This window comes from Homo sapiens, chromosome 6 (assembly GCF_000001405.40).
Source record: "Homo sapiens chromosome 6, GRCh38.p14 Primary Assembly".
Lineage (NCBI taxonomy): Eukaryota > Metazoa > Chordata > Mammalia > Primates > Hominidae > Homo > Homo sapiens.
In genome coordinates this window covers 13,668,182-13,695,317 of record NC_000006.12, presented here as the reverse complement: position 1 = coordinate 13,695,317, position 27,136 = coordinate 13,668,182, and the positions used below count along the sequence as shown (strand labels likewise).

At 37.4% G+C, this 27,136-nt stretch overlaps 1 protein-coding gene and 1 non-coding gene across 5 annotated transcripts in view; one reads left to right on the top strand and one right to left on the bottom strand.

Annotated features, from left to right (window-relative positions):
• The window catches only part of RANBP9 (RAN binding protein 9), a 90,338-nt gene that overhangs the window by 16,518 nt on the left and 46,684 nt on the right, over positions 1–27,136 (top strand). Inside the window, exons 1-2 of one of the 4 annotated variants that reach the window (XM_017010149.2) lie at positions 6,337–8,502; positions 10,150–10,189. The exons of the other annotated variants lie outside the window; for them this stretch is intronic. Of the exons in view, the coding sequence (XP_016865638.1) occupies positions 10,173–10,189 (17 nt within the window). The 5' untranslated portion in view covers positions 6,337–8,502; positions 10,150–10,172. Of the gene's footprint in view, positions 1–6,336; positions 8,503–10,149; positions 10,190–27,136 lie in introns of those variants that run through there. 4 annotated transcript variants of the gene reach the window in all.
• On the bottom strand, positions 15,177–15,238 carry LOC124901523 (U7 small nuclear RNA). The gene has a single exon (XR_007059944.1). It is a non-coding gene; the product is annotated as a U7 small nuclear RNA (small nuclear RNA).

The window sequence follows — 27,136 nt, the reverse complement described above, 5'->3', positions numbered from 1 at the left end:
TTGTCAGATCTCAATTATTTATCTGCTGAATTACTCTCAGATAGTTGGTTGATGGGTCTCCAGTTGCTGCCTGTTTTGCTCTTATTCTAGTCTATAACTGTTGTCAGGGTTCTTAGTAATAAAAAACTGAGTTGCCTCTACCCGTTTTTTGAGATATCTGTTGCTTCAAGGATAAAATGTAGAGCTTCTTAACAGGACCCCTCAGATCTGACTAGCTCTTGGGTCATTTTTCAGTCTCTTTGTAGCCAGGATACCTTACCCTTTTTCTTTTGTTTTTAAAATTAGGTATATTTTACACATAGTAAACTTTATTCTTTTTAGTGTACTGTTCTGTGAGTTTTGACAAACATGTATAGTCATATAACCAGCATCGCAGTTGATATGGGAGACTCCCCTTATCTGTGGGGGATACATTGCAAGACCCTTTGTGGATGCTTGAAACTGCAGATAGTACTGAACTCTATATATACTATGTTTTTTTTCAGTCTGATAATTGAGAGGGCTACTCAGTGACTAAAGGGCATGTGGTAAATACAGCGTTGATATGCTAGACAAAGGAATGATTCCCAGGTGGGGACAGGGCGGGACTGAATCCAATGGCATGAGATTTTATCATGTTATTCAGAATGGCATGCAGTTTAAAACTTACAAATTGCTTATTTCTGGAATTTTCCAATTAATATTTTTGGACCTCAGTTGACTGTGGGTAACTGAAACACTGAGGAAAGCAAAACCACAGATAAATGCGGACTGCTTTATATAGAACAGCTCTATCATCCCCCAAAATTCTGCCATACTCTTTTGTAGACAACCCTTCCCCATATCTAGCTCCTGGTAACTGTTGACTGGTTTTCTGTCTCTATAGTTTGTCCATTTCAAGAATGGCATATAAATGGAATCATATAGTTTGTAGCCTTTTAAGTCTGGTATCTTTCACTTAGCATAACACATTCGAGATTCCTCCCTGTTGTATATATTCATAGAACAGTCCTTTTAAATCTAATTTTGTAGATAAGTGAACCAAAGTTTGCTTACCCACTCCCCAGTTGAAGAACTTCTCAGTTTCCAGTTTTTTGGCTGGAACTGTAAACATGTATATACAGGTTTTTGTGTAAACATAAGTTTTCTTTTCACGAGTAAGTATCTAGGAGTGGGATTGCTGGATTGTAGTTAAGTGTATTTTTAACTTTGTAAGAAACTGCCAAATTGTTTCACAAAGTGGCTATACTAGTTTGCATTTTGTTCTTTTTGTTTGTTTGTTTTTGTTTTTTTCCTGAGCCAGAGTCTCGCTCTGTCACCCAGGCTGGAGTACAGTGGTGCAGTCTTGGCTCACTGCAACCTCTGCCTCCCGGGTTCAAGCAATTCTCCTGCCTCAGCCTCCCAAGTAGCTGGGATTACAGGCGCCCACCACCACACCTGGCTAATTTTTGTATTTTTAGTAGAGACAGGGTTTCACAATGTTGGCCAGGCTGGTCTCGAGCGCCTGACCTCAAATGATCCGCCTGCCTCAGCCTCCCAAAGTGCTGGGATTGCAGGCATGTGCCACAACACCCGGCCTCTAGCTTTTACATATATACGTTTTTCATATATACATTTTTTTCTCCTGAGCCAGACAGTAAGTTCCTTACAGACATAGTTCTTGTGTTTCATGTGCTTGTTGAGTGACAGAAACCAGCCATGCTGTGGAGGGATATGATATCTGCTGCCACCCCCGGCTAATCTTTTGTATTTTTAGTAGAGTCGGGGTTTCACCATGTTGCCCAGGCTGGTGTTGAACTCCTGAGCTCAGGTGATCTGTCCGCCTCGGCCTCCAAAAGTTCTGGGATTGCAGGTGTGAGCCACTGTGCCTGGCCCACTGGTTTGCATTTCTACCAGCAGTGTATGAGAGTTCCTGTTGATCTTAGCACTAGGTATTGTCATTTTTTTTTAAATTTTTAGCCATTATAATAGGTTTCTAGTGATTTCTTGCTGTGGTTTTAATTTATATTTCCCTAATGACTAATTATGTTGAAGAATCCCTAATTCTCACCTGCTCTTCACCTATAAGGTACCATTTGGAGTTCTCTGACTACGCATGCTGGCTTATATTTCTAGTTCCTTATGCATGCCCTTCCTTCACCTTCTCTTATCCCTTTCTCTATTTGCCTAGCTAATTAATTGGTCTTCAAGTCCTAGTTTAGGAGTACCTTTCTTATGGCATTTTCTCCTTAAAGTAGGAATATGCCTTTTCTATGCCTCCTTTACATTTTGGCCAGACTGTAATTATGATATTTGTATTGTTTCAATTGTCTGCTTACTGCCAACATGACCCTACAGATTTAAGAGTAAGGGACTATTTTAATTTCTATAACTCCAGTACTTAACTTATAGCTGGCTTTTAAAGGTATGAATAAATGAATGGATTAGAAGAAGTACTATTTCTTGTATGTTCTTGGAGAAAACTATTTTTTTGTTTGTTTTGTTTTGAGACAGAGTCTTGCTCTGTTGCCCAGGCTGGAGTGCAGTGGCACGATCTTGGCTCACTGTAACTTCCACCTCCTGGGTTCAAGCAATTCTGCCTGTCTCAGCCTTCCAAGTAGCTGGGATTACAGACATGTACCACCACACCTGGCTAATTTTTGTATTTTTGGTAGAGATGGGGTTTCACCCTGTTGCCCAGGCTGGTGTCAAACTCCTGACCTCAGGTGATCCGCCTGCCTCTGCCACCCAAAGTGCTGGGATTACAGGTGTGAGCCACTGTGCCCTGCCTTTTTGTTTTTTGTGTTTTTTTTTTTTTTTTTTTTTTTTTTTGAGACGGAGTTTCGCTCTTGTTGCCCAGGCTGGAGTGCGATGGTGTGATTTCAGCTCACTGTAACCTCTGCCTCCCAGGTTCAAGTGATTCTCCTGCCTCAGCCTTCCGAGTAGCTGGATTACAGGCATGCGCCACCACGGCCAGCTTATTTTGTGCTTTTAGTGTGTTTTGCCATGTTGGCCAAGCTGGTTTCGAACCCCTGACCTCAGGTGATCCACCCGCCTCGGCCTCCCAAAGTGCTGGGATTATAGGTGTGAGCCACCGCGCCTGGCCAAACTATTGTACTTCTTTGGTCACATTCATTTATCTCTCTGGTAAACGTGTCGAACAAAGTTCTAGGCCCAGCCCATTGTTTTTGGAAGCAAAGAACAATTCATTTATGAAAAAAAAGCAACTCATATTGCTAATTTTGGCCAACTAATGTTTTTCTGGAGAAAAGATTATTTCCTAAAAATCTCAACATCTTTGTAAAGTATGGACCAGAAAGAGTAGCTGTTAGGAACCTTTTGTTTGCAGTGATGTGTGCCCATCTGAGAGTTTATTCTGCTTAATTTAAAACTGAATTTTCGCTGGGCACAGTGGCTCTAGCCTTTAGCACTTTGAGAGGCTGATGCCGGTGGATCATGAGGTCAGGAGTTCAAGACCAGCCTTGGCCAACATAGTGAAACCCCGTCTCTACTAAAAATACAAAAAATTAGCCAGGCGTGGTGGCAGGCACCTGTAATCCCAGCTACTTGGGGGGCTGGGGCAGGAGAATCGCTTGAACACAGGAGGCAGAGGTTGCAGTGAGCCGACATCACGCCACTGCACTCCGTCCCAGGTGACTGTGCGAGACTCAGTCTCAAAAACAAACAAACATACAAACAAACAAAAAAAAAACACTGAGTTTTCTTTTAAACAGTGTTTATCCCAGATCTCAGTTTTTAAAATAAATTGTCCTTGGCAACAAATTTTCTCATGAAATGGCAAGAGTTGGATGTGAATTGCCTCTTTCAATAGGGTAGAAAGAACTGGTGTTAATGTATTATGTGCTTGTAAAGACTTTTAATTCCTATGGTGTACGTTATTTCTAGGTTTACCCTGGAAAATTAGGAATATGACTGTCATGATTGTTACTTGTATTTCTTTATTGCCTAGAAAATGAGACCTGAAGAAAGTTCCTTTTATTGAGTGAAAGAATATATTTCATTTTCTGCCATGAGTTTTCATTTAAACTGAACCTAAGTTTTGTATATGTGCAGCTAAATAAATTTATTAGGACTAAATAGTCTTTAAATATTATTAATTTAAAAATAAAATCTAATGCATTTCACAAGAAAAATTAAATCACTTTATCTACATGACTTTTTTTTTTTTTTTTTTTGAGACGGAGTCTCTGTCACCCAGGTTGGAGTTCAGTGGCACAATCTTGGCTCACTGCAACCTCTGTCTCCTGGGTTCAAGGAATTCTCTTGTCTTAGTCTGTCCTAGTAGCTGGGATTACAGGTATGCCCCACCGCACCCAGCTAATTTTTGTATTTTCAGGAGAGATGGGGTTTCACCATGTTGGCCAGGCCGGTCTTGAACTCCTGACCTCAAAATGATCCACCCACCTCGGCCTCCCAAAGTGTTGGGATTACAGACGTGAGCCACCATGCCTGGCCCTGCATAACTTCTTTAGGGCATATATTTAACGGGTGTGTGTTTACTTTCCCTTCTTTTTAGTGATCATTGACCGTTGAGATGAATTTCTTTAAGGAGTCTGTATCTTAGGTACTTTCAGTTCAGGGATTTCATTCAAATTTTAAATTATGCATATTAATAGAGGCAGTGGACATACTGTTAATTCTAAATGTGAGAGAGAACAAAATTTTTATTTGAAAGTTTTTAGAATTATAATTTATTATGAATGGTATTTTTAGCTCTTCAAACAAAATATTGATGCCACTCTTTGACAGTGTTTCAGTAAGAACTGGCAAGTAATTCAGTCTCTCTGTTCTGTTCCTAAATTCTTCTGCTGATAATAAAGTGCACTCTTTCAGAATGTTCCTTTTATGCTTGCTGACTTTCTAGTTTATTTCTTGGCGGGGGAGGAGAACAAAGGTCTTTCTTCCTGTCTAGCTTTGAAAACTAGAAGGATCTTTCCTTCTAGGTTTGATTCGTTGTAAGCAGCAAATGGAAGCACAGGGTAAATGTGAACAAAGAGTAAACAATACATTTATTATAAGTAAGCAATATATTTATTTAACAAATATATGTTGAACACCTATGATATAGCACATCGTCAGCAGCTGAGTGGGGATAAGAAATTATTTTATTGATTTGTCTTATTCATAGTTCTTACTAGAGGACCTGACATTTAGTAGAAACTCAATTAATACAGTGAGTGAACTGAATGTGGTCCCTGCCCTTGAGGAAGATCAAATTTAGTGTAGTCATATGTCACTTAACTACGGAACATGTTCTAAGACATGAGTCATTGGGCGATGTTTTTTTATGAACATCGTAAAGGGTACTTATGTAAACCTAGATGGTATAGCCTACTACATACCTGGGCTGTACCTACTACATACCTGGTCTGTCCAACAGAGGACTACATACATAGTCCTTTGTTGACCAAACTGTTGGTATATGGTGTTTGGAAGATATGGTGGGACAAGGCAGGAAGCAGAAATATGCAACTCTTAAGACATAATATACTAAGTACTTAGAAATGAGACCATGTATGGGAAAACTGAGGAGAGAGTAATTAATTTTGGCTCAAGGAAATATTTATACAGGAAGTAGTAGTTGGTAGACCTTACAAAATGAGTAAGAATTTGAGAGGCCTTTTTGGGGAAGAACATTCCAGACTATGGTAAATGGCCAGAATAGTCTCACAGGAAGAGTGCAACTTTGTGGTCTTTGGCAGAGATACATGGTTCAGTATTGTTGGGGACTTGGATTATAAGGAAGAGTTATAAAAGTAAGAACAGGCTGAGTGTGGTGGCTCATGCCTGTAATCCCAACACTTAGAGAGCCCGAAGCGGGTGGATCACCTGAGATAAAGAGTTCGAGACTAGCCTGACCAACATATAGTGAAACCCCATCTCTACTAAAAAGTACAAAAATTAGCTGGGTGTGGTGGCACATGCCTGTAGTCACATCTACTTGGGGAGCCAAGGCAGAAGAATCGCTTGAACCCAGGATACAAAGGTTGCAGTGAGCCGAGATCACACCACTGCACTCCAGCCTAGCGACAGAGTGAGACTTCATCTCTCAAAAAAAAAAAAAAGGAAAAAAAGTGAGAATGGAATCAGATGTTATAGAGCCTTGATGATAGTTCTAGGGTGAAATATACTCTATAGGTAGAAGGGAGCTTTCAGTTTTTTGTTTTGTTTTGTTTTTGTTTGCAGCAGAGTCTTGCTCTGTCACCCAGGCTGTAGTACAGTGGCACAATCAAGGCTCTCTGTAGCCTTGACCTCCCTTACTTAAGTGATCCTCCTGCTTCAGCTTAGCCTCCCAGGTAGCTGGGACTATGGGTGTGCGTCACCATGCCCAGCATTTTTTTTTTTTTTTTTTTTTTGTGGAGATGGGTCTCGGTATGTTGCACAGGCTGGTCTTGAACTCCTGGCCTCAAGCTATCCTCCTGCCTCCCTAAGTGTTGGGATTACAGGCATGAGTCACTGCACCCAGACTGCCTTCAATCTTTTTGAGTAGGGAAGATATATGATACCTGCTTTAGAAAGATAATACAAAGTGGGGAGAGGATGAAGTGTGTGATGGCGGTCTGCAAGACTGCTACAGAGTTTACGGGCTAGGGCTAGGAGTTAGGTTGTGAGGCGGTTGCCTGAGGATAGAGTGTGATAGAGATTTAAAAAAAAAAATAACAGGAGGAAAATAACAGACGAGGAGATTTAGTTTGTCGAGTACCTGTTATGTGCCAGATACTGTGCTAAGAACCTAGGATTGACAGAGATGGAGACAGGGCTGTAAACATGGCTGAGAAAGGGTACCTACTTTCCAGAAGTTTGCAGGTAAGAAGGGAAATGAACATGTAAGTAACTAATAAAATCCAGTATGAGATACACAGTAGTAGACATATAAACAAATTAGAGAAGTATGTTGGAGGAGGTAACCAACACTGTTGGAAGACAGGGTGGTGATCAGGGAAGTCTATCTAGGAAGCTTACATAAAATTACAGAAGAGGAATACAGTTAAACATAAGCTTCTCTGTCCTTCAGTTGCTCAGGTATCCTTCACAAGATAGGATATGAACAGAGATGTTAAAGATTAGTAGCTGTTTTAGAAGCTGACTAGTTACTTTTGTTGAGAAATATAGTGGAGATGTAAATCTTGGCTCTGCTACTTAACTGGTTCTGTGGTTTTGTATTTTTTGACAGACTCTCTCAGTCTGTGAAAAGGAAATAATAGTGCCAACCTCATAAGACTAAATTACATAACTCACTTAAAGCACTTATTAGAGTACCTGGTGTGAAGCAAACTCAAGGTAGCTTGATGCTGCTCTGAAAAAAGATGCCTGGTGCACAGCAAACTCGTGTCTTCTTGCTGCTGCTGTTGCTGCTGGCTGCTGCCACTGCTGCTGCTGGAGGAAGCTCAGCATAAAGTTTTGTGGGAGGAATGTGTCTGGAGATGATCATGAAGGGACTTCTAATGCTAATGGGTGTTACCTTTTATCTTTCAGGTGCTAGTTTTAAGCAAGGGAATTATATGGTTGGATTTGCTTTTTAGGTGGGTTATCTGAGGGTAATATGGAAAATAGATCTGAGACTGACTTCTAGAGATCAGTTGGGTTATTGTAATAATAAATTGAGGGTTTAATCTGTGTGGTGGGGTTGTAGAGGAAAGTAGACAGATTTGTTAACTAATTAGGACTTAATTTTTTACATGAAATCTGTCTTTATTTCCTTGATTAGGAAGTAGGAGTAGTAAGCACGTAAAGGTAGTTGTTGAGAGAATGTTAAGAATGACTCCCTAGCTTTTGTCTTAGAAGATTAAATGGATAGTGATGTGACTAAATACATCAGAAAATACCAGAAGAGGATTTTTTTTTTTTTAAGAGATAGGGCCTCACTTTGTTGCCCAGGCTGGAGTGCAGTTGTGTGATCATAGCTCACTGCAGCCTCAAATTCCTGGGCTCAAGGGATCCTCCTGCCTCAGCCTCCCAAAGTACTGGGATTACAGTTGTGAGCCATCACACCTGGCCAGGAAGTGGATCTTTAAAGAAGATGATGATGAGAACAGTGTTTGAGCTGCTAGGGGAATCCCAGAAAATTAATAGCAAAGGCTTTGACTAAAAATAAATGGGATTTAGGAGAGTAGGGCTGAAGGTAGATTTTGGAGTGGTCAGAAGGTTAAGTTGTTAAAGCCATGGGAATTGATAGGATCACCCAAGTATGTAATGTAACAAAAACAAAGAGGGCCTAGGGTGGACACCTGAAACACCATATTTAAAGGACATATAGAAGGAGGGAATTCGTCTGAGATTCTTTTCATGTACTTATGAATTTTTTAAAACAATTTCTTCTTGTTACATAATCATCTAAGATTCTATAAAAGAATGGTCAGAGAATTAGAAGGCAGATCCTAGGTGTTTTCAGAAGCCAAGGAAGTCAGTTCAAAGGAGGACTGCTAAGTCTCCACTGGTTTGTCATTTGGGGGGTTAATTAGTCCTTGTGATAGCAGTTTCCTTAAAATTGGGGTGATAGCAGGTGCAGTGTGTCAAAGAGAGGTAAGGAATGGAGATAATGTGCCAGTGGACTTAGTAGCTGTGTTGCTGTTGTGAGAAACAATAATTCACAACCCATTTAGAAAAGTAATACACTGCCAATTTGATAATTCAAGGCCAGGCGTGGTGGCTCATGCCTGTAATCCCAGCACTTTTGGCAGCTGAGGTGGGAGGATTGCCTGAGCCCAGTAGTTCGAGACCAGCTTGGGCAACAAAGCGAGACCCTGTTTATTAGGCTGGGCATGGTGGCTCATGCCTGTAATCCCGGCACTTTGGGAGGCTGAGGTGGGTGGATCACCTGAGGTCAGGAGTTCGAGACCAGCCTGGCCAACATGGTAAAACCCTGTCTCTACCCAAAATACAAAAAAATAGCTGGGCGTGGTGGCGCATTCCTGTACCCAGTTACTTGGGAGGCTGAGGCAGGAGAATCCCTTGAACCTGGGAGGCAGAGGCTGTAGTGAGCCAAGATCGCGCCGCTGCACTCCAGCTTGGGCAACAGAGCCAGACTCCATCTCAAAAAATAAATAAATAAATAAAAATAATAAAATTAGCCGGGTGTAGTGGCATGCACCTGTGGTCCCAGCTATATGAGAGGCTGAGCCAGGAAGATCGCTTGAGCCCAGGAGGTCAAGGCTGCAGTGAACTGTGTTTCTGTCACTACACTCCAGCCTAGGCTACAGAGTGAGACTCTATTTCGGGGGGCGGGGGGGGGGGGGGGAAGAAATTTTGGAAATTCAGGAAAGAAAAAAAAGTACAGAAAAAATGTAAGGGAGAAAACTAAACCATGATTTTTGTATAATTAATTGCTATCAATACTTCTGCTCGTTTCTTTCGGATTTTATATATACACTTATATTTTAAGCTTAGTTATACTCTTTTTTTTTTTTTTGAGACAGAGTCTCGCTCTGTTGCCAGGCTGGAGTGCAGTGGTGCAATTTCGGCTTACTGCAATCTCTGCTTCCCAGGTTCAAGCAATTCTCCCACCTCAGCCTCCCTCCCATTAGCTGGGACTACAGGCGCACACCACCACGCCCAGCTACTTTTTGTATTTTCAGTAGAGACAGGGTTTCACCATGTTGGCCAGGATGGTCTCGATCTCTTGACCTCGTGATCCTCCCACCTAGGCCTCCCAAAGTGTTGGGATTACAGGTGTGAGCCACCGCGCCCGGCCTGGTATCCTCTTTATACAGGTTTTTACATCCTGTGTTTATCATTGATTTATTTAGTATTTTTGGGGAGACAGGGTATTTCTCTGTTGCCCAGGCTGTAGTGCAGTGGCGCATTCATAGCTCACTGTAACCATAGCTCACTGTAAACTGTTGGGTTCAAGTGATCCTCCTGCCTCAGCCACTCGAGTAGCTAGGACTACAGAGATGTATCCTATGCCTGGCTTATTTTTGAATTTTTTTGTAGAGGATTATTATTGATTTATTTCTATGTAGCAGTTATAGTATGTTTCTTACATAATTATAAGCATTCTTCTATGAGATTAAAAGCTCTGAATATCTTTTTATTTTTGGCTGTGGCATAGTCTAAGTTTATTAAGGCACATCCATAGCTGTTCTCCTGTTGCCAGTTATTTAGATTGTTTTAATTCTTTCACTATTCTAAATACTCTTTTTTGCATGAAATTTGTCTTTATTTCCGTAGGAAAGATTTCTTGAAGTGGAATTATGGATCACAAGAAGGGGTATGCACATTTTTAAGGCTTATGATGCACATGGCCAAATTACTCTCCGGAAAAATTATTGCAATTTATGTTTGGGTGGGAGAGACCTTGTTGTATGTATATGCTGAGGAGAAGGAATCACTAGTGAGTCCAGGAGAAGGCTGAGGAGGCGAATGAGGCAAGTTTCTTTGCCCAGTAGGTGGGATATGGGGTTTTAAGTATAAATTAGGAAGGTGGGATGCTGTGCGGAATTTATTTATTGGCACTTATCACTACTTCTGGAAGCCTGTCTTGACAGCCTTTTCACCTCCAAACAAGATGAGGCTCCTCTGTTAACACCCTTTCACAGCATCTTGTACTTCCCCTTCATAGCATTTAATCACCTTCATAATTATTTATTTAAGATCTGTCCTACCCGTTAGAGTATCCCTTTAGGGAGGGCACAGACTTTTGTCTTTGCCACAGCTTTATCTGTGTCATCCTACACATAGATATTTAGTAAATGTTCATTGATCAGAGAAGTGAAGGTATTGAGGAACTGTGAGATTTAAAACCACAAATTTGTGACAGCGGTTTACATACTTACAATTTTTTACTATATACCCAGCTGGTTAGAGAGGAAAGTTGAATTGTATGATTGATGCAAAATGGGAAACTATAGGTTAGGTAAGTTGGAAGAACAATTGTAGTAATTGAGGTTACGGGTGAGGGAATATCTAAATGGACCATTTTAGTTCAGGCTGGGTAGGGAAAAAATGAAATCAGCACGGAGCTGATATACTCAGACAAAATGAGAGATTTATATATTGCTGTTTTTAGTGAGTTTTAAGGAGATGCAGAGGGATTTCTGAGGTGGATTTGCTGCATTTGGCTAAGTGTAGGGCATAACAATGAAAGACAAGAGAAGAAAATCTTTATCAGAGAGGCTTTTTTGGTCTGTTTTGTTTACTGCTATATCCATGTTGTGTAGAACAATGCCAGACACAAAATAGGTGCTGCATAAATATGTTAACTAAGTAGAGGTGGGTAGGGATAATAACATCTTTTCTTTTGTAATCCCCTAGCACTTGCTGTGCATAGTACAGAGTATAGATAGTCAATATTTATGGAATGAACAGAATGTGAGTCTTGGATTTTGGATATGTTCTAAAAACCATTAAGAATGGTAGGAGCCACATTTTTGGTGGAGAGAAAAATTGGTTATTTAAGAAGGTATGAAATATGGGAAAAGTGACCTAAAGATATATAACCATCATGTTTCTCAAATTATTCTTGAAGTGGTTATCTTTAGTGCAGTTTAAATCCCAAATCACCCTTACCTCTTACTCTGTCAGTTATTTTATACTTAACAAGTATAGGTGTTTTTTTTTTCCCAAGAAATTTTTTTTTCCAATTACAAGGTAATGCATTCTTAATGCAAAAGGGAAAATCAAATAAACAAATCCTGTGAAATAGAAAAAAAATAACATATTTTTAAAAGCATATACAATCCTACCACCTGGATTAATGGCAGTTGACATTTTGGAGTATATTCTCTCCAGCTTTTTTTCTCTATTAAAACTGCTTTCAACATTAGTCTAAGAAAGAAAAATAGGTTTAAGATGTATTTGAGTCACATGAGAGATTAAAAAAAATTATTCTCATGGGTACCAGTTCTTATACTTTCACTTTAATATAAATTTAATTGAAAATTCAGGAAGAAAATTTCATTTTAATGTCTTAAAGACACCCATGTCATATAACTTTAAGATTGTATATAGTTTTGTCCTGATGAATATATTACTTGAAATCATATTTCAGTTTTTCAGAACCAGGAAAACAGTTTATAACCATTCTATTTATGTTTATCTCAGATATATTGAATTCTTGCTCTTTGCCTATTGCTGGAATCACTTAGGTTGATTAACATTCCAAGATAAGGAGAAATGATCTGTTGGTCCTAGACCTTTTTGGCTTTGTGGATGATTTAGTAGTATGGATAGTTTTTTGGAGGAGTGGTTGAAATGTTTTAAAATGGTTGATGAGAAGTAATTGTTGTCAGATGGAAAAACAGACTGGTTAAGAGTTGAGATTCATCCCAGTGATTCTTTGTGATTTGTATAGTACAGAATCTAAGGAGTTTTCCTCCCCAACATTTACAAACATACAGAAGACAGAGTTAATACAGTGAATACCCTTGTACACACCACCTAGATTTTAGAATTAAGATTTTGCTATATTTACTTTATTATAGATCTGTACATCCACACCCCATCTTTTTAAAATGCATTTCAAAGTGAGTTCATGAGTTGCAGAGTTTCCAAATCAGTTTTAAAGTCTCTCATTTTATACTTCTTTTTTCTTATTCTGAGAATCTTTGATTCTAGTGATATTTACATATTTATTTGCTTTAGCCTAGAATATCTTGATACATTGCCAAATTAAAATATCAGTAATTTGGGAGGCAGAGGTAGGTGGGTCACCTGAGGTCAGGAGTTTTGAGACCAGCCTGGCCAACATGGCGAAACCCTGTCTCTACTAGTAACAAAAATTAGCTGGGCCTGGTGGTGGGCGCCTGTAATCCCAGTGACTCGGGAGGCTGAGGCTGGAGAATCGCTTGAACCCAGGAGGCGGAGGTTGCATGGAGCCAAGATCGTGCCATTGCACTGCAGGCTGGGCAACAAGAGCAAAACTCCATCAATTAAAAAAAAAAATTATGTATTAAGAACATTGAATACTGTATGTTTTTTTGCAGTCTTTTTTTTTTTTTTTTTTAATTTTGCTTCAGTCTTTAGAATATATCCCATTAGGGATGGATATTCAAAATACTGTGTTTTAAAGTCACTTGAAGTAATTCTTTTTTCTGTATTTCTGCCACCAACTTGATATATACTAGTTTCACTTACTTAAAATTATCTTCCATTCTTAGGGACTGATTTTTAAATTTTTGTTTTAATTATATAAAACATTTACATTGTTTCAAAGTAAGACTGTTGAAGAAGGCACTTGGCCCAGGTGCGGTGGCTCACGCCTGTAATCCCAGCACTTTAAGAGGCCGAGGTGGGAGGAACACCTGAGGTCAGGAGTTCGAGACCAGCCTGGCCAATGTGGCGAAACCCCATCTCTACTAAAAATACAAAAATTAACCAGGTGTGGTGGCACGTGCCTGTAATCCCAGCTACTACTCAGGAGGCTGAGGCAGGAGAATCGCTTGAGCCTGGGAGGTGGAGGTTGCAGTGAGCCAAGATTGCTTCACTGCACTCTGGCCTGGGTGACAGCACGACTCTCTCTCAAAAAAAAAAGGAAAGAAGGCACTTCACAGAAGGTTCACGTCATCCTTTTTTTCTTCCCCCTTCAGGTAACCATTTTCATTAGTTCTTGATTTATTCTTTTGTTATTTCCTTTTGAAAATGGAAGCAAATATGCCATCGAAAACTTTGAAGAGGTATCACAAATAGCTGATGACACTAGTTGGCTGTAAGTAGAGGAAGTGGTTAAATGGGGATGGGAGTGAAAGGAAACTTGAAACATTTTTGTTGCTTTTGAATTTTTTTATTTTATCTATTTTGTTTGCTCTTTTTTTTTTGAGAGGTTTAGTATATTTTTACATTGAGAGAGGTACATTTATACTAATACCTATAGTCCCCTCCTTTTAAGGTACTCTTGTATTGTGAGCAATAATGAAATTAGCTAGTAACCTCTTCAGCACCTTTTCTTCCCTTTCCCCAGTGTCTGTGGGTTTTTTGCACTTAAAATGTATTATTGATTAATGTGCAGTAAAATACATTTTTTTCAGTGTATAGTTGTGAGTTTTGACAAATAGAATTACATAACAACCACAACTAAAATTACATAACAACCACGCCAAACTCTCTCTTGTTGCCCCTTTATCTCAAACCCTCCTCCCACCCCCAACTCCTCACAACCACTGATCTGTCTTCTGTCCCTATAGTTTTGCCTTTTGAAGCCAGAATGTTATATAAATGTAACCTTTTGAAAATGGCTATTTTGTAATCACTTAGCATGATGCATGTGATACTCATCCAGGTAGTTGAGTGTATCAGTAGGTCATTGCTTTTTCTGTAAATTCTCTTTTTTGTTAATTGTTTTATATCTATATTTTATGAGCATATAACATTTGCATACACTATACTGTTATCTTTATTCTGATCACTTAGTGTTAATTTTAAATTATATTCAATACTCATCATCAGACCTTATCCCAAAGATACTTCGAGGATTTTTTGGTTATCTGAAGCTCACATTCTACAAGTGAGCTCATGGGAACAATATTCTTTTAAGTCCTTTTGGTTCAAACTATTTGCTTGTGACCATTATACTCATTATATTTGAAGCTTTGATTGTATGTAAAATCCCTGGCTCATGTTTTCTTTCTTTCTTTTTTTTTTTTTTCCGAGACAGACTCTCACTTAGTTGCCCAGGTTGGAGGGCTGTGGCACAATCATGGCTCACTGCAGCCTCAACCTCCTGGGGCCAAGCGATCCTCCCGCCTCAGCCTCCTGAGTAGCTGGGAGTACAGGTGCGCACCACTATGCTCAGCTAACTTTATTTTTTATTTTTATTTTTATTTTTGTTGGGACAGGGTCCCATTGTGTTGCTCAGGCTTGTCTTGAACTCCTGGGCTCAAGTGATGATCTTCCCACCTCAGCTTCCCAAAGTGCTGGGATTACACGCATGAACCACTGTACCCAGCCATGTTTTTTTATGAGCTCCATGGACATTTTCAAAGTCTTCAGACATTTTTTTCTTACAAGAAATTTGGTCATTTGCCTGTTACCTGAAAGATTTTTCTTTTTCTTTAAAGAACCATTACTTGACTATGTCTTGGTGTTGATCTTGGTATGGTCTTAAGAGTAGGTTCAAGTGTTTTATTTCAGAAAAGTTTTTTCGTATGATGGTTTTCAGTATTTGTTCTGTTCCATTACATGGGTTTGTTTTTTAGGGACTCTAATTATGAATGTATGTTGGGTCTTCTTTGACTAACTTCTTCTATTATTTTGTTTTTTTGAAGAGTTTTTTGGTAAAAACTGGAAAACCTGCCAGAGAAATTCTAAAGGATCTGTAACACTTGACTAACTTCGTTATTTTAAAAATTTCCTCCATTCTCTTTCCTCTTTTCTTGTGGGGTCTTTTACTTTGTGTTCCAATTAGCTTGTCTTTATTTCTGAAATAATTTTCCTTTTTTTCCTTGTAATTCTTAAGTAAATAAGAACACTATTTTTTGACCGATTTATATTAAAAATTGGAGACTTCCTGTGAACAAGTCTTGAACATCCAGTGTAATTTTTAAGTTATAGCACTTGTGAAGAGAAATATTATTGAAAAACAAAACAGTAAAACGCATCTCAGTCTCCATAGTTTTATAGGTACATCTCATTTGGTACAAGTAGAACCTGTAATGTTTATAGAATTGAAATGTAAATCAGTTTCTTCTGAACTTATTTGTGTGATTTAAAGTTGCTACTTTTTATTTATTAATCTTATAGGGATATGTTGAAAAACAAGATTTTAAATATGGATTAAAATATAAATAATTTTATTAACCAAAAATGTCAGTTTATTGGAAACATAAACAATTTTGTGTCTGTTGGGTGAAAAGTAGAATATGTTGTTTTATGCATATGATAGATTATTTTCCTTAACATTTAACAGTTTAACAAGTTATTTTGTGTTTTGTTGTTGTTGTAGTAGTTAACTACAGATGGAATTATTCGACAAAGAATCGTCAGAGGAACTCTCAAACTAATAGGCTTTTCTTGTTTTTAGAGCCTTATTGTCTTAATTATTAAAAGGCAGGATAAATGAATAGGTACTTTGAAGGCCATCTTAGTAAATATAGCCAGGCCTTAATTTTAGGTATTGTATATTTATATTTTTATAGCTCTTCGAGAGGTAATGGGAGAAAGATGCAGCTGAAGAAAGATGCAGCTTGGTGTATATTATTGTGAACTTTCCGAAGGCAAGAAAGAATTTCTGTTTTTCATGATTCTTTATGCTTTGGGAAGAATGTGGTAGAGAAGGTGCAGTGTAGAGAGAGATAAGTAGCTGCTTTACTGTCAGCATAGAATTAGAATTGGAACAAATTTTTTTTTTAATCACAGCAGAATGTTCTAGGTTTGAAAAAAGGATTTCTGTTTTCTGTTACTTTAGTTTTAAGTTTCTTACCTCAGTTCCATTGGTGCAGATAATCATCTGGTGATTAATATTTCACTTTGCAATATTTTGAGCATGCATATACTTAAATTTATTTTGTATATTAATAGTGGCTATTCTAAGAATGTAGGTGTTGGATACGGTGTGGTAAAGTCTGGGTAGCTGCAGGGGGATATGAGAATAAGGCTTAGAAGGAAGAATTTTATTATACTCACAGGTCTCAGGGAGGGTCACTGCATGCTACACAGGGGAAGCACCAGGTTTTAGTCAGGAAGCAGAAGACAGGAGCCACGGAAAAGTCCAGGCCAGAGTATTGGGATTTCCTGGGAAAGGCAAGGGAGGGCAGAGTAAACAGTTGAGGATTGAAGAGTTTGGATGATTCCTCCAGGCTTTGAGCTGTAGAGGTGGTCTCTAATTGCCTGGTACCTGACTCTGGAATGATTTAGGGCAGGAAATACTGGCTTCGTATGTGAGCGTTAGATAAGGAGGTGGATTTGGCTGTAGACTCAGGATTGGTTGGTTTGTATATGGAAGACATGCTCCTGTGAGCCCTCTTATCTCTAAGAAAGCACTAGCCCTGGCCAGCAAGCTTTTAAAAAGCCAAAACATAATAAAATATAGTAAATAAGAAACATGTTTTAAATGCAGTGGCCAGCTGAAGTTCTGTTTACCTTGTCAAATAATTTCTGTGTTAATAATCTTTGAGAACCATAGCTTTCTCAACAATTGCTTTCCTTTTGGTTCTTTATTATTTTTTATAAGTTCTCATTTCTTTTAGATAGTGATTGCCTTTTCTAAACACTGAAATACGTCTCAAGTATGTAACCTGATTGAAATATTTTCACAGGAGCATCTGTAATTGTTTTTTGTTTGTTTTTTGAGATAAGATCTCACTCTGTTGCCCAGGCTGGAGTACAGTGACGTGATCACTGTTCACTGCAGCCTTGAACTCCTGGACTTAGTGATCCTCCCACCTCAGCTTCTTGAGTAGCTGGCACTGCAGGCACATACCACTATGCCTGGCTAATTTTTTATATTTTATGTAGAGACGGGGTTTTGCCTTGTTGCCCAGACCAGTTTCAAACTGTTGGGTTCAAGTGATCCACCCACCTCAGCCTCCTAAAGTGCTGGGATTATAGGCTTGAGCCACCACACCTGGCCTGCAGTTGTTGCTGGAATGTTTTTGGTTTGATTTTATAACACTACTATGTGAATCACCAGTTGGTATATATCACTTTTAATATTATTTCACTTATGATGGTTGAAAGATGTTAAAGTTTGTTCTTTTACATGAGAAAAAAATGGGTATATGTTCATAAGCTTAAATGTTTAAGATTGGTAACTTGTGAATTATAGACAAGTGCCCTGAGTTTCTTAATATAAATAGATATACGTATACTAGTGTATCTTGCTGTAGTAACTAACTTTTGGTGCTCTTAAGTCTTATTATATTCATAATGCCATTTGGCAGAAATAAAACATTTTATTTCAAAGGTATTAAGTAATTTTTAGGTCTTGTAAGATAAAAAAAAGATCCCTCTTACTGTGTCAGTAACTTATATACATGAATAAACTATTCAGAATTCGAAATTTTAAAATTTGAGTCTTCCTGTCCATGAACATAGGCTATTTTTCTATTTATTTAGCTTTTCTTTGAGTATTTCAGCAGTTTTATAGTTTTTATGGTATCAATTTTGTCAATATTTGTTAGATTTATGCCTAATTATTTCCTTTTTGTTGGTGCTAATATAAGTGGTATTGTGTGTTTAAAATTCCAGTTCATTGCTGGTGCGTAGGAAATTGACTTCTGCATATTAACCTTGTATCCTGCCACCTTGCTATGATTGCTTATTTTTTCCAAGAGGTTTTTTTCTGTCAATTCTTTGATGTTGTCTGCATAAACAATCTTTTCAGCTACAAAAGTAGGTTTATTTTTTCTTTCTCAATCTATATACCTTTTATTTCCTTTTCTTGTCTCATTGCATTAGCTAGGACTTCCCCTATGATGTTGAATAAGAGCCGTAAAAGGAAATACCTCTGCCTTTTTCCTGGTCTTAAAGAGAAAGTGTCTAGTTTTAGCCATTAAGTATGATACTAATTGTAGGTTTTTTGTAGATGTTCTTTATTAAGTTGAGGAAGCTCCCCCTCTATTCCTAGTTTACTGAGAGTTTTTATCAAGAATGGTGTTGGATTTTGTCAGATGCGTTTTCTGCATCTATTGGTCTGATCACGTGATTTTTCTTCTTTAGTTTCTTGATGTGATTGATTACATTGTTTTTTTTGAATGTTGAGCCAGCCTTGCATACCTGGGATAAATCCCACTTAGTCTTGGTGTATAGTTCTTTTTTTAAAATTTTAATTTAATTTATTTATTTTAATATCCAGACTTCAAGGAGGTATAGTTCTTGTATACCTTGTTGGATTTGATTTGCTAATACTTTATTGAGGATATTTGCATCTGTGTTCATAAGAGATATTTGTCTGCAGTTTTCCCTTCTTGTAATGTCTTTATTTGGTTTTGGCATTAGGGTAATGCTAGACTCAGAATGACTTAGAAAGTGTACCCTCTGAGTGTATTTTCTGGAAAAGATTGGAGACAGTTGTGTTATTTCTTCCTTACATGTTTGGTTGGAATTACCCTGAAGCCATCTGGGCCCAGTGTTTGTTTTTTTTGGAAGGTTATTAATTGTTACTATTATTTTTTTCTGAGTATATGTTTTTATTTAGCTTTTACAAACAATAACCACAATAAAAAAAAATAATGAATGCAGATAACTTTTGAACACAATATATCGTACACCCTTATTGGATATATTCTGAGGACAAACATTATGCAACAAATATTCTTGAATTTTATTTAATAGATTTATTATGGGTGTGCTTTCTACTCTTGGGTATCATTGCTTCTAGGCTCTTTCAATGGATGGAGTTTATTTTGACACTACAATTCGATCTAGTTACCAGAGTTCTTCCTCTTCTTTCTCATTTCTGTAAAGGTTATTAATTATTGATTTAATTTTTTAATCTATAGAGGCATATTCAGATTTTCATTTTCTCCTTGTGTGTTTTGATAAATTATATCTTTCAGGGAATTGCCTTGAAATCCATTTCATCTAAATAATCAAATTTGTGGGCATAAAGTTAGTTATAAATGTTTCTTTAATACTTTTTTAATGTCTGGGATCAGTATTGATATTATTACTGATAATAATAGTTTCTTATGTCTTTGATTTTGGTATTAATAATTTGTGTTTTTTTTTTGTTGGTTATCCTGGCTAGAGGTTTATCAATTTTACTGATCTTTTCAAAGAACTGGCTTTTAATTTTGTTGATTTTTATTTTATTTTATTTTATTTTTTAAAATTTCATTGCTATCTCTATTTCTCATTTCTTCTTCTTTCTCTAGGTTTGTATTTATTGCTCCAGTTTCCTAAGGCGGAAAGTTAAATCATTGATTTTTAGATCACCATTACATTCAGTGCTATAAATTTCTCTGTAGGCACTGCTTTCACTGCATCCCACAAATTTTGATAAGTTGTTTTCATTTAGTTGAAAATAGTTTTAAATTTCTCTTTAGACTTCTTTGATGTGTTATTTTAAAATGTGTTGTTTAATCTCCAGATATTTGGGGATTTTCCAGCTATCTTTCTTTTGTTGATTTCTAGTTTAATTCTATTAAAGTCTGAGAGCATAGTTTGTATGACTTTAGTTAAGGCATGTCTTTCTTATGTCCCAGAATGTGTTCTGTTTTGGTGAATGTTTTTGTGAGCTTAAGAAGAATATGTATTATGCGGTTATTGGATAAAGTATACTATAAATGTCAATGAAATCCAGTTGATGGATGATACTTTTCAGTTTGACTATATGTTTACTGGTTTTCTGCCTGCTGTGTCTGCCAGTTGTTGATATAGGGGTGTTGATGTCTTCAGTTATAGCTGTGGAGTTAACTGCTGCTTCTCGTAGCTCTATCAGTTTTTGTCTCACATCTTTTGACACTTTGTTGTTAGGCTCAGACACATTAAGTGTGGCTGACTGCCACAGTTACTACTTGAGACTGTCACTGAGACAGTTATTACTGTTACTACTTGAGACCATCATTATGAGACTGAATCAAGGGGGACAGACATAGAAATGAAAACTTAAGACAAAGGTAACTACTTTAAAGTAAGGGTAACATGGGGAAGGAGAAGAGAAGAAGAAAAGGGCTCCCTGCTTTTAGTGAGCAAAGGCAGCTGCCTAAGACTCTACAGCCCTTAATATGTATTGGGTAGAAAGAGCAGCAGGAGGAGGTAATGATTGGTCAGCTGCTGGATTGATCACAGGTTCACATTATTGCTAACAGGTTTCAGTTATGCCTAATCAGAAGAAACACTTGTGCCTGGGTGGTGGCTGCCCTCAGCATTCCTTCTGGGCAACAGACACAGTTTGTCAGTTTGCCGACATCCTGCTTTTATGAGAAACAGTTTGCTGTTTGCACATATAGCCTCCAGTACTATACTGAGTTGATCACGACCCTTGACAATTAAGGATTGTTATATCTTGTTTGATAATTGATCCTTGATCATTATGTACTATTCCTGTTTTTCTCCGATAATTTTCCTTGTTCTGAATTCTGCTTTGTTAGAAATTAATATAACTAGTCCAGCTGCCTTTTGATCAGTGTTGGCATTGTATGTATTTCTCCATCCCTTTAACCTATCTGTGTCTTTATATTTAGAGTGAGTTTCTTGTAGACAACATATATTTGGGTCTTTTTGTTCACTCTTGTCAGTTCTGTCTTTTAATTGGTATATTTAGATGATTCACATTGAAAGTATTGTTAAAGTTGGGTTTTAGTGTCTACCATATTTGTTTCTTACTCATTATACTTGTTCCTTGTTGCTTATTTTAAAATGTACTTTTTTTTTTTTTTTGAGACAAGGTCTCCCTCTGTCACCCAGGCTGGAGTGCAGTGGCGGGATCTCAGCTCACTGCAGCCTTGACTTCCTGGACTCAAGTGATTCTCCCACTTCAGGTTCCCAAGTGGCTAGAACTACAAGGGCACACCACCACACCTGGCTAATTTTTTGTATTCTTTATAGAGATGGGATTTTGCCATGTAGGCCAGGCTGGTCTTGAACTCCTGGGCTCAAGTGATCCTCCTGCCTCGGCCTTCTGAAGGGATTACAGGCATGAGCTACGTGCCTAGCCCATTGTCTGATTTTAATTGAGCATTGTATATTATTCCATTTTTCTTTTCTGTATAAAATACTAATTGTACTTCTTTAAAAAAGATTTTTTGGTAGTTTCCCTTAGAGCTCATCTAAGTTCATTTTTAAATACCATTTACACTGCTTCACACATAGTGCAGGTACCTTATAACAGAATATAACCAACTCCTCCCTCCTGTCCCTTATAGCATTGCTGTTATTCATTTCACTTATCCATAGTCAGCAGTTACCCAAGATATTGTTACTATTTTGAATACTTATCTATGTGATCAATTAAGATTAAGAAAAATAAAAGAGTGTATCTTCATTTATTCCTTCTTGGACTCTCCCTTTCTTCATAAGGATTCTATTTTCTCACCTATATCATTTTCCTTTTCTCTGAAGAACGTGTAACATTTCTTGCAAGGCAAGTTTGTGGGCCACAAGTTCCCTCTATTTTTGTTTGTCTGAGAAAGTCTTTATTTTTCTTTCACTTCTGAGGGATAATTTCTCTGGATGCTAAATCCTAGCTTGGTGGGGTTTTTTCCCAACACTTAAATATTTCACTCCACTCTCTTCTTGCTTACATGATTTCTGAAGAGAAATCTGATATAATTCTTGCCCTTCTTTTATATAGAGTGAGTGTTTTGTTTTGTTTTTTCCTGATTTCTTTCAAGACCTACTCTTTGTCTTTGACCTAGGTTTGAAGATGAGGTGTTGATGTTTTGATGTTTATCCTGTTTAGTGTTTTCTGAGCTTTCTGGATTTGGGGTTTGGGGGATCTGTCATTAATTTTGGAAAATCATCAACCATCATTACTTCAAATACTTCATTTTCTTTGTTTCTTCTCCTTCTAGCATTACTATTATGAATATTTTTCACCTTTTATAGTTGTCCTCCATTCTCAAATACCATGTTCCAGTTTTTTTTCAAGCTCACTGATTGTTGTTTTTTTTAGTCTGCTGATTGCTCGTCAAAGGCATTCTTTATTTGTGTTAATGCTTTTTATTTCTAGCATTTTGTTTTGATTCTTTCTTATAGCCCTTAGCATTTTAATGAGTTATTTAAAATGTCCAGTTTGATCATTCAAAATCTACCTTATCTGAGTTTGGTTTCGATGCTTGCTTTGTCTCTTCAGACCTTTTCCTTGCCTGTTACATGCCTTGCAATTTTTTGTTGAAATCTGGACATGGCTTATTGAGTAGTAGAAACTCAGGTAAACAGGTGTTTAATGTGAGATTTTAGGTTTATCTGGCTGGGAGTTAGGCTGTGTTTAATGTTCACTAGGTATTTATATTGTTTGTAGGTATAAGACATTTCATTTTCCTCTACTTTCCTGGTTTTTGTCTTGTTTTGAGTTTCCTTAGAAACTTTTATTAATTAAAAAAAGTCTATTTCTTGTAATTTTCTCAGTTGTAATCTGTTATATTGGAGCCCTGTTTAGTAGAGAGGAGAAGTGTTCTATAATCATATGATGAAATCTGTTGGGTTTTTTAGTGGACCAGAGTTCCTGAACGGACCTTCAAAAGAATTTCTTAAGCTTTTTTCTTCCCTCCTCTCAGGCAGGTTAGAGGGGGCTGGAATTATTGCTCTTACTCTAGGTCAGATTTCAAAATGGTTACTTTTCCCTTTTCCCTACTCAAAATGGAGGGATTTTACTCTAATAAAAACCAGGTGGAGCTCCTTTTCTCACCTATATTCTTCCTTAAGACTGAGCCCTCACAAGTTAAAGCTCAAGTTAGTTCACTCTCAGTCTCCAGCAGTTTGCTACTTACTTTTAAAGTGTTCCTTCCAGTTATTGGCTTTAGAGTAAATATAGCTCCATATGTCTATATTCACATGTTTCTTCAGTTTTTCTGGAGGTGTTGTGACCTGTGAACTCAGTTTTCCAGTGCTTCTAAGAGTAGTTGATTTTCAGTTGTTCTGCTTTTTTTCTTGTGAGGATGGGAGTGATGATTTCCAAGCTGTTTACGTAATAGAGTGGAACAAAGTTGTCATCTTTATTTTTTTAATGAGAGTTGTATTGAGATGTATAATTCATGTACATATTCACCCTTTAAAAATGCACAATTTGGTAATTTTTACTATATTCACAGAGTTATGCAACCCTTACTATTTAATTTTTAAACATTTTTGTCACCTGAAAAAGGAACCCCAAAACACTCACTCCTCCCAGTTCCAGGCAGCAACTAACTATTTTGTTTTTATGGATTTACTTATTCTGGACATTTCATATAAATGGAATTATACAAAATGTGACCTCTCGTTTCTGACTTCTTTATCTTAACATGTTTTAAAGGTTAATGTTTTAAAGGTTGATTTATGCTGTATCATATATCAATACTCCATTCCTTTTTGTTGCCAAATTAATATTCCATTGTATTAATATATCACATTTTGTTTATCCATTGGTTGGTGGAAACACTTTTTGACTGTTAAGAATATTGCTGTTATGAAGAATTGTGTAACATAGTATGGCTATGTGTTTTCATTTTTATTGCAGAAAATGGGAGTGTAATTTCTGGGTCATAGATACCCTATGATTAACTTTTTGAGGAGCTGCCAGACGGTTTTCCAAAGTGGCTGTACCATTTTACTTACTACCAGCTATGATAGTTGCAGTTTCTCCACATTCTTGTCAACACATATCTTCTTGATTCTAGCCATCCTAGTGTATGTAAAATGAGAGCTCATAGTGTCTTTTGATTTGCATCTCTAATTACTAATGATTAACATAGTTTTACTTGCTTATTGGACATTTATACATCTTTGAAGAAATGTCTATTCAGATCCTTTGCCCATTGTTTTAGTAGGGTTTTCCTTTTATTGAGCTGTAAGAGTTCTTTATATATACTGTAAAAAGTTACCCTATCAGATATATGATTTGCATATATTGTCTGCCATTCTGTGAATTGTCTTTTAGTTTCCTTGACAGTATCCTTTAAATCACAAAAATTTTAAATTTTATGGAGTCTAGTTTGTCTACTTTTTTTTTTTTTTTTTTTTCTAAGATGGAATTTTGCTCTGTCTCCCAGGCTGGAGTGCAGTGGTATGATCTTGGCTAACTGCAAGCTCCACCTCCCGGGTTCACACCATTCTCCTGCCTCAGCCTCCCAAGTAGCTGGGACTACAGGCGCCCACCACCACGCCCGTCTAATTTTGTTTTTGTATTTTTGGTAGAGACGGGGTTTCACCGTGTTAGCCAGGATGGTCTCGATCTCCTGACCTCGTGATCTGCCTGCCTCAGCCTCCCAAAGTGCTGGGATTACAGGCATGAGCCACCACACCTGGCCTAGTTTGTCTATTTTTTCTTGTGTTTCTTCTGCTTCTGATGTCATATCTAAGAGACCATTGTCTTAAGCCACTATCAGAAAGACTTACATCTGTGTTTTCATCTAAGAGTTTCATAGTTTTAGCTCTTCAGTTAGCTCTCTAATCCATTTTGTGTTAATTTTTATATATGGTGTGAGATAGGGATCCAGCTACATTCTTTTTGAAAATATTTTTTTATTTTTGAGACAGAATCTTAATCTGTCACCCAGGCCAGAGTGCAGTGGCACAATCTGAGTTCACTGCAACCTCCGCCTCCCAGGCTCAAGCAATTCTAATGCCTCAGCCTCCCGAGAAGCTGGGACTACAGGCATGTGCCACTGCACCTGGCTAATTTTTGTATTTTTAGTACAGATGGGCTTTTGCTATGTCGGCTAGGCTGGTCTTGAACTCCTGACTTGAAGTGATCCACCCACCACCTTGGCCTTTCAAAGCGCGGGGATTATAGACTTGAGCCACTGTGCCCGACCTCAGCTGCATTCATTTGCATTTGTATGTTTTCCCAGTACCATTTGTTGAAAAAAAAAAAACCAGTTCTTTCCCCACTGGATTGTTTTTTCCTGCTTGTCAAAAATCAATTCATCTACCAGATGCTGTGGCTCACACCTGTAATCCCAACACTTTGGGAGGCCAAGGTGGACAGTATTGCTTGAGCCCAGGAGTTTGAGACTAGCCTGGGCAACATGGAGAAACCCTGTCTGTACAAAAAATGCGAAAAAAAGTTAGCCAGGCATGGTGGCATGCAACTGTAGTCCCAGCTACTCGGGGGCTGAGGTGTGAGGATCACCTAATCGGGAGAAAAAAGGCTGCAGTAAGCTGTGGTCATGCCACTGCACTGCAGCCTGGTTAAAGTGAGACCTTACTTGTCGCAAAACAACAACAATAACAAAATTAATTGATCGTGAATACAAGAGTTTCTGAAATCTCAATTCTATGGCATTGATCTCTATGTCTGTTTTTAAGCCAGCAACACATTCTCTTGGTTACTGTAGCTTTTTATTGAGTTTTAAAATTGGAATGTGTGAGTCTTCCAACTTTTTTGTTCTTTTTCAAGATTATTTTGGCTCTACTGGGCCCTTGCATTTGTGTATGATTTCAGGATCAGTTTGTCAATTTCTGCAGCAAAGCAAGTTAGGATTTTGATAGGGTTTGTGTTGAATCTCTAGATTAATTTGGGGAGTATTGCTATTTTAACAGCATTTAGTCTTCAAATCCATGAATATGGCATGGGGAGTCTTTCCATTTACTTAGCAGTTCTTTCATTTTTTCAACAATGTCGTTTTTAGTGTTCAGATTTCACACTTCTTTTGTTATATTTATTCCTAAGTATTCTTTTTTTTTATTCTGTTCCAAATGAAAGTATTTTCTTAAATTCATTTTCAAATTATTTCTAGTGTGTAGAAATACAACTGATTTTTGCATATTAATCTTGTATCTTGTAGTCTTGTTGAACTTGATTACTTTTAATAATTTTGGGGGAGGAGATTCTTTAGGATTTTCTATATACAAAATTGTGCCATCTGTCAATAGAGGATGCTTATTTCTTGCTTTCTGATCTGATGGCTTTTATGTCTTTTTCTTGCCCTCTTGCCCAGGGTAGAAGTTTCAGTACTATGTTGAATAGAAGTGGTGAGAGAAGACATCCTTTTTTTTGTCCCTAATCTTAAGGTCAAAGTATTCAGTCTTTTACCACTAAGTATGCTGTTAGCTGGGGATTTTTCATAGATGTTCTTTATCAGTGTGAGGAAGTTTCCTTCTGTTTCAAGCTTGCTGAGTCATGATTTTTCATGATTTTTTTTAAATCGTGAAAGGGTGATGAGTTTTGTGAAATTCTTTTTCTATGCCTGTTGAGATGATTATATGGATTTTGTTCTTTATTTTCTTAATATATTACATTGATTGATTTTTGTTTGTTAAACGAACTTCATGTTTTTGGGATATAAATCCCATTTGGTCATGATTTATAATCTTTTTTATGTGTTGCTGGATTTGATTTCCTAGTAATTTGTTGAGGATTTTTGCATTTGTATTAATGAAGGATATTTTTTCTGTAGTTTTTTTGTGATGCCTTTATCTAGTTTTGGTAACAAGATAGTACTGGCTTTGTAGAATGAGTTAGGAAGTATTTCTAGCTTTTTTGGAAGAGTCTGGGAAAGATTAATGTTAATTTTTATGTTTGGTAGATTTCCCCAGTGAAGCCATCTGAGCACGGGCTTGTCTTTGTGTTTTAAAATTACTATGCAGTTTCAGTAGTTTGTGTCTTTCTAGGAATTTGTCCATTTAAAGGAGGTTATGT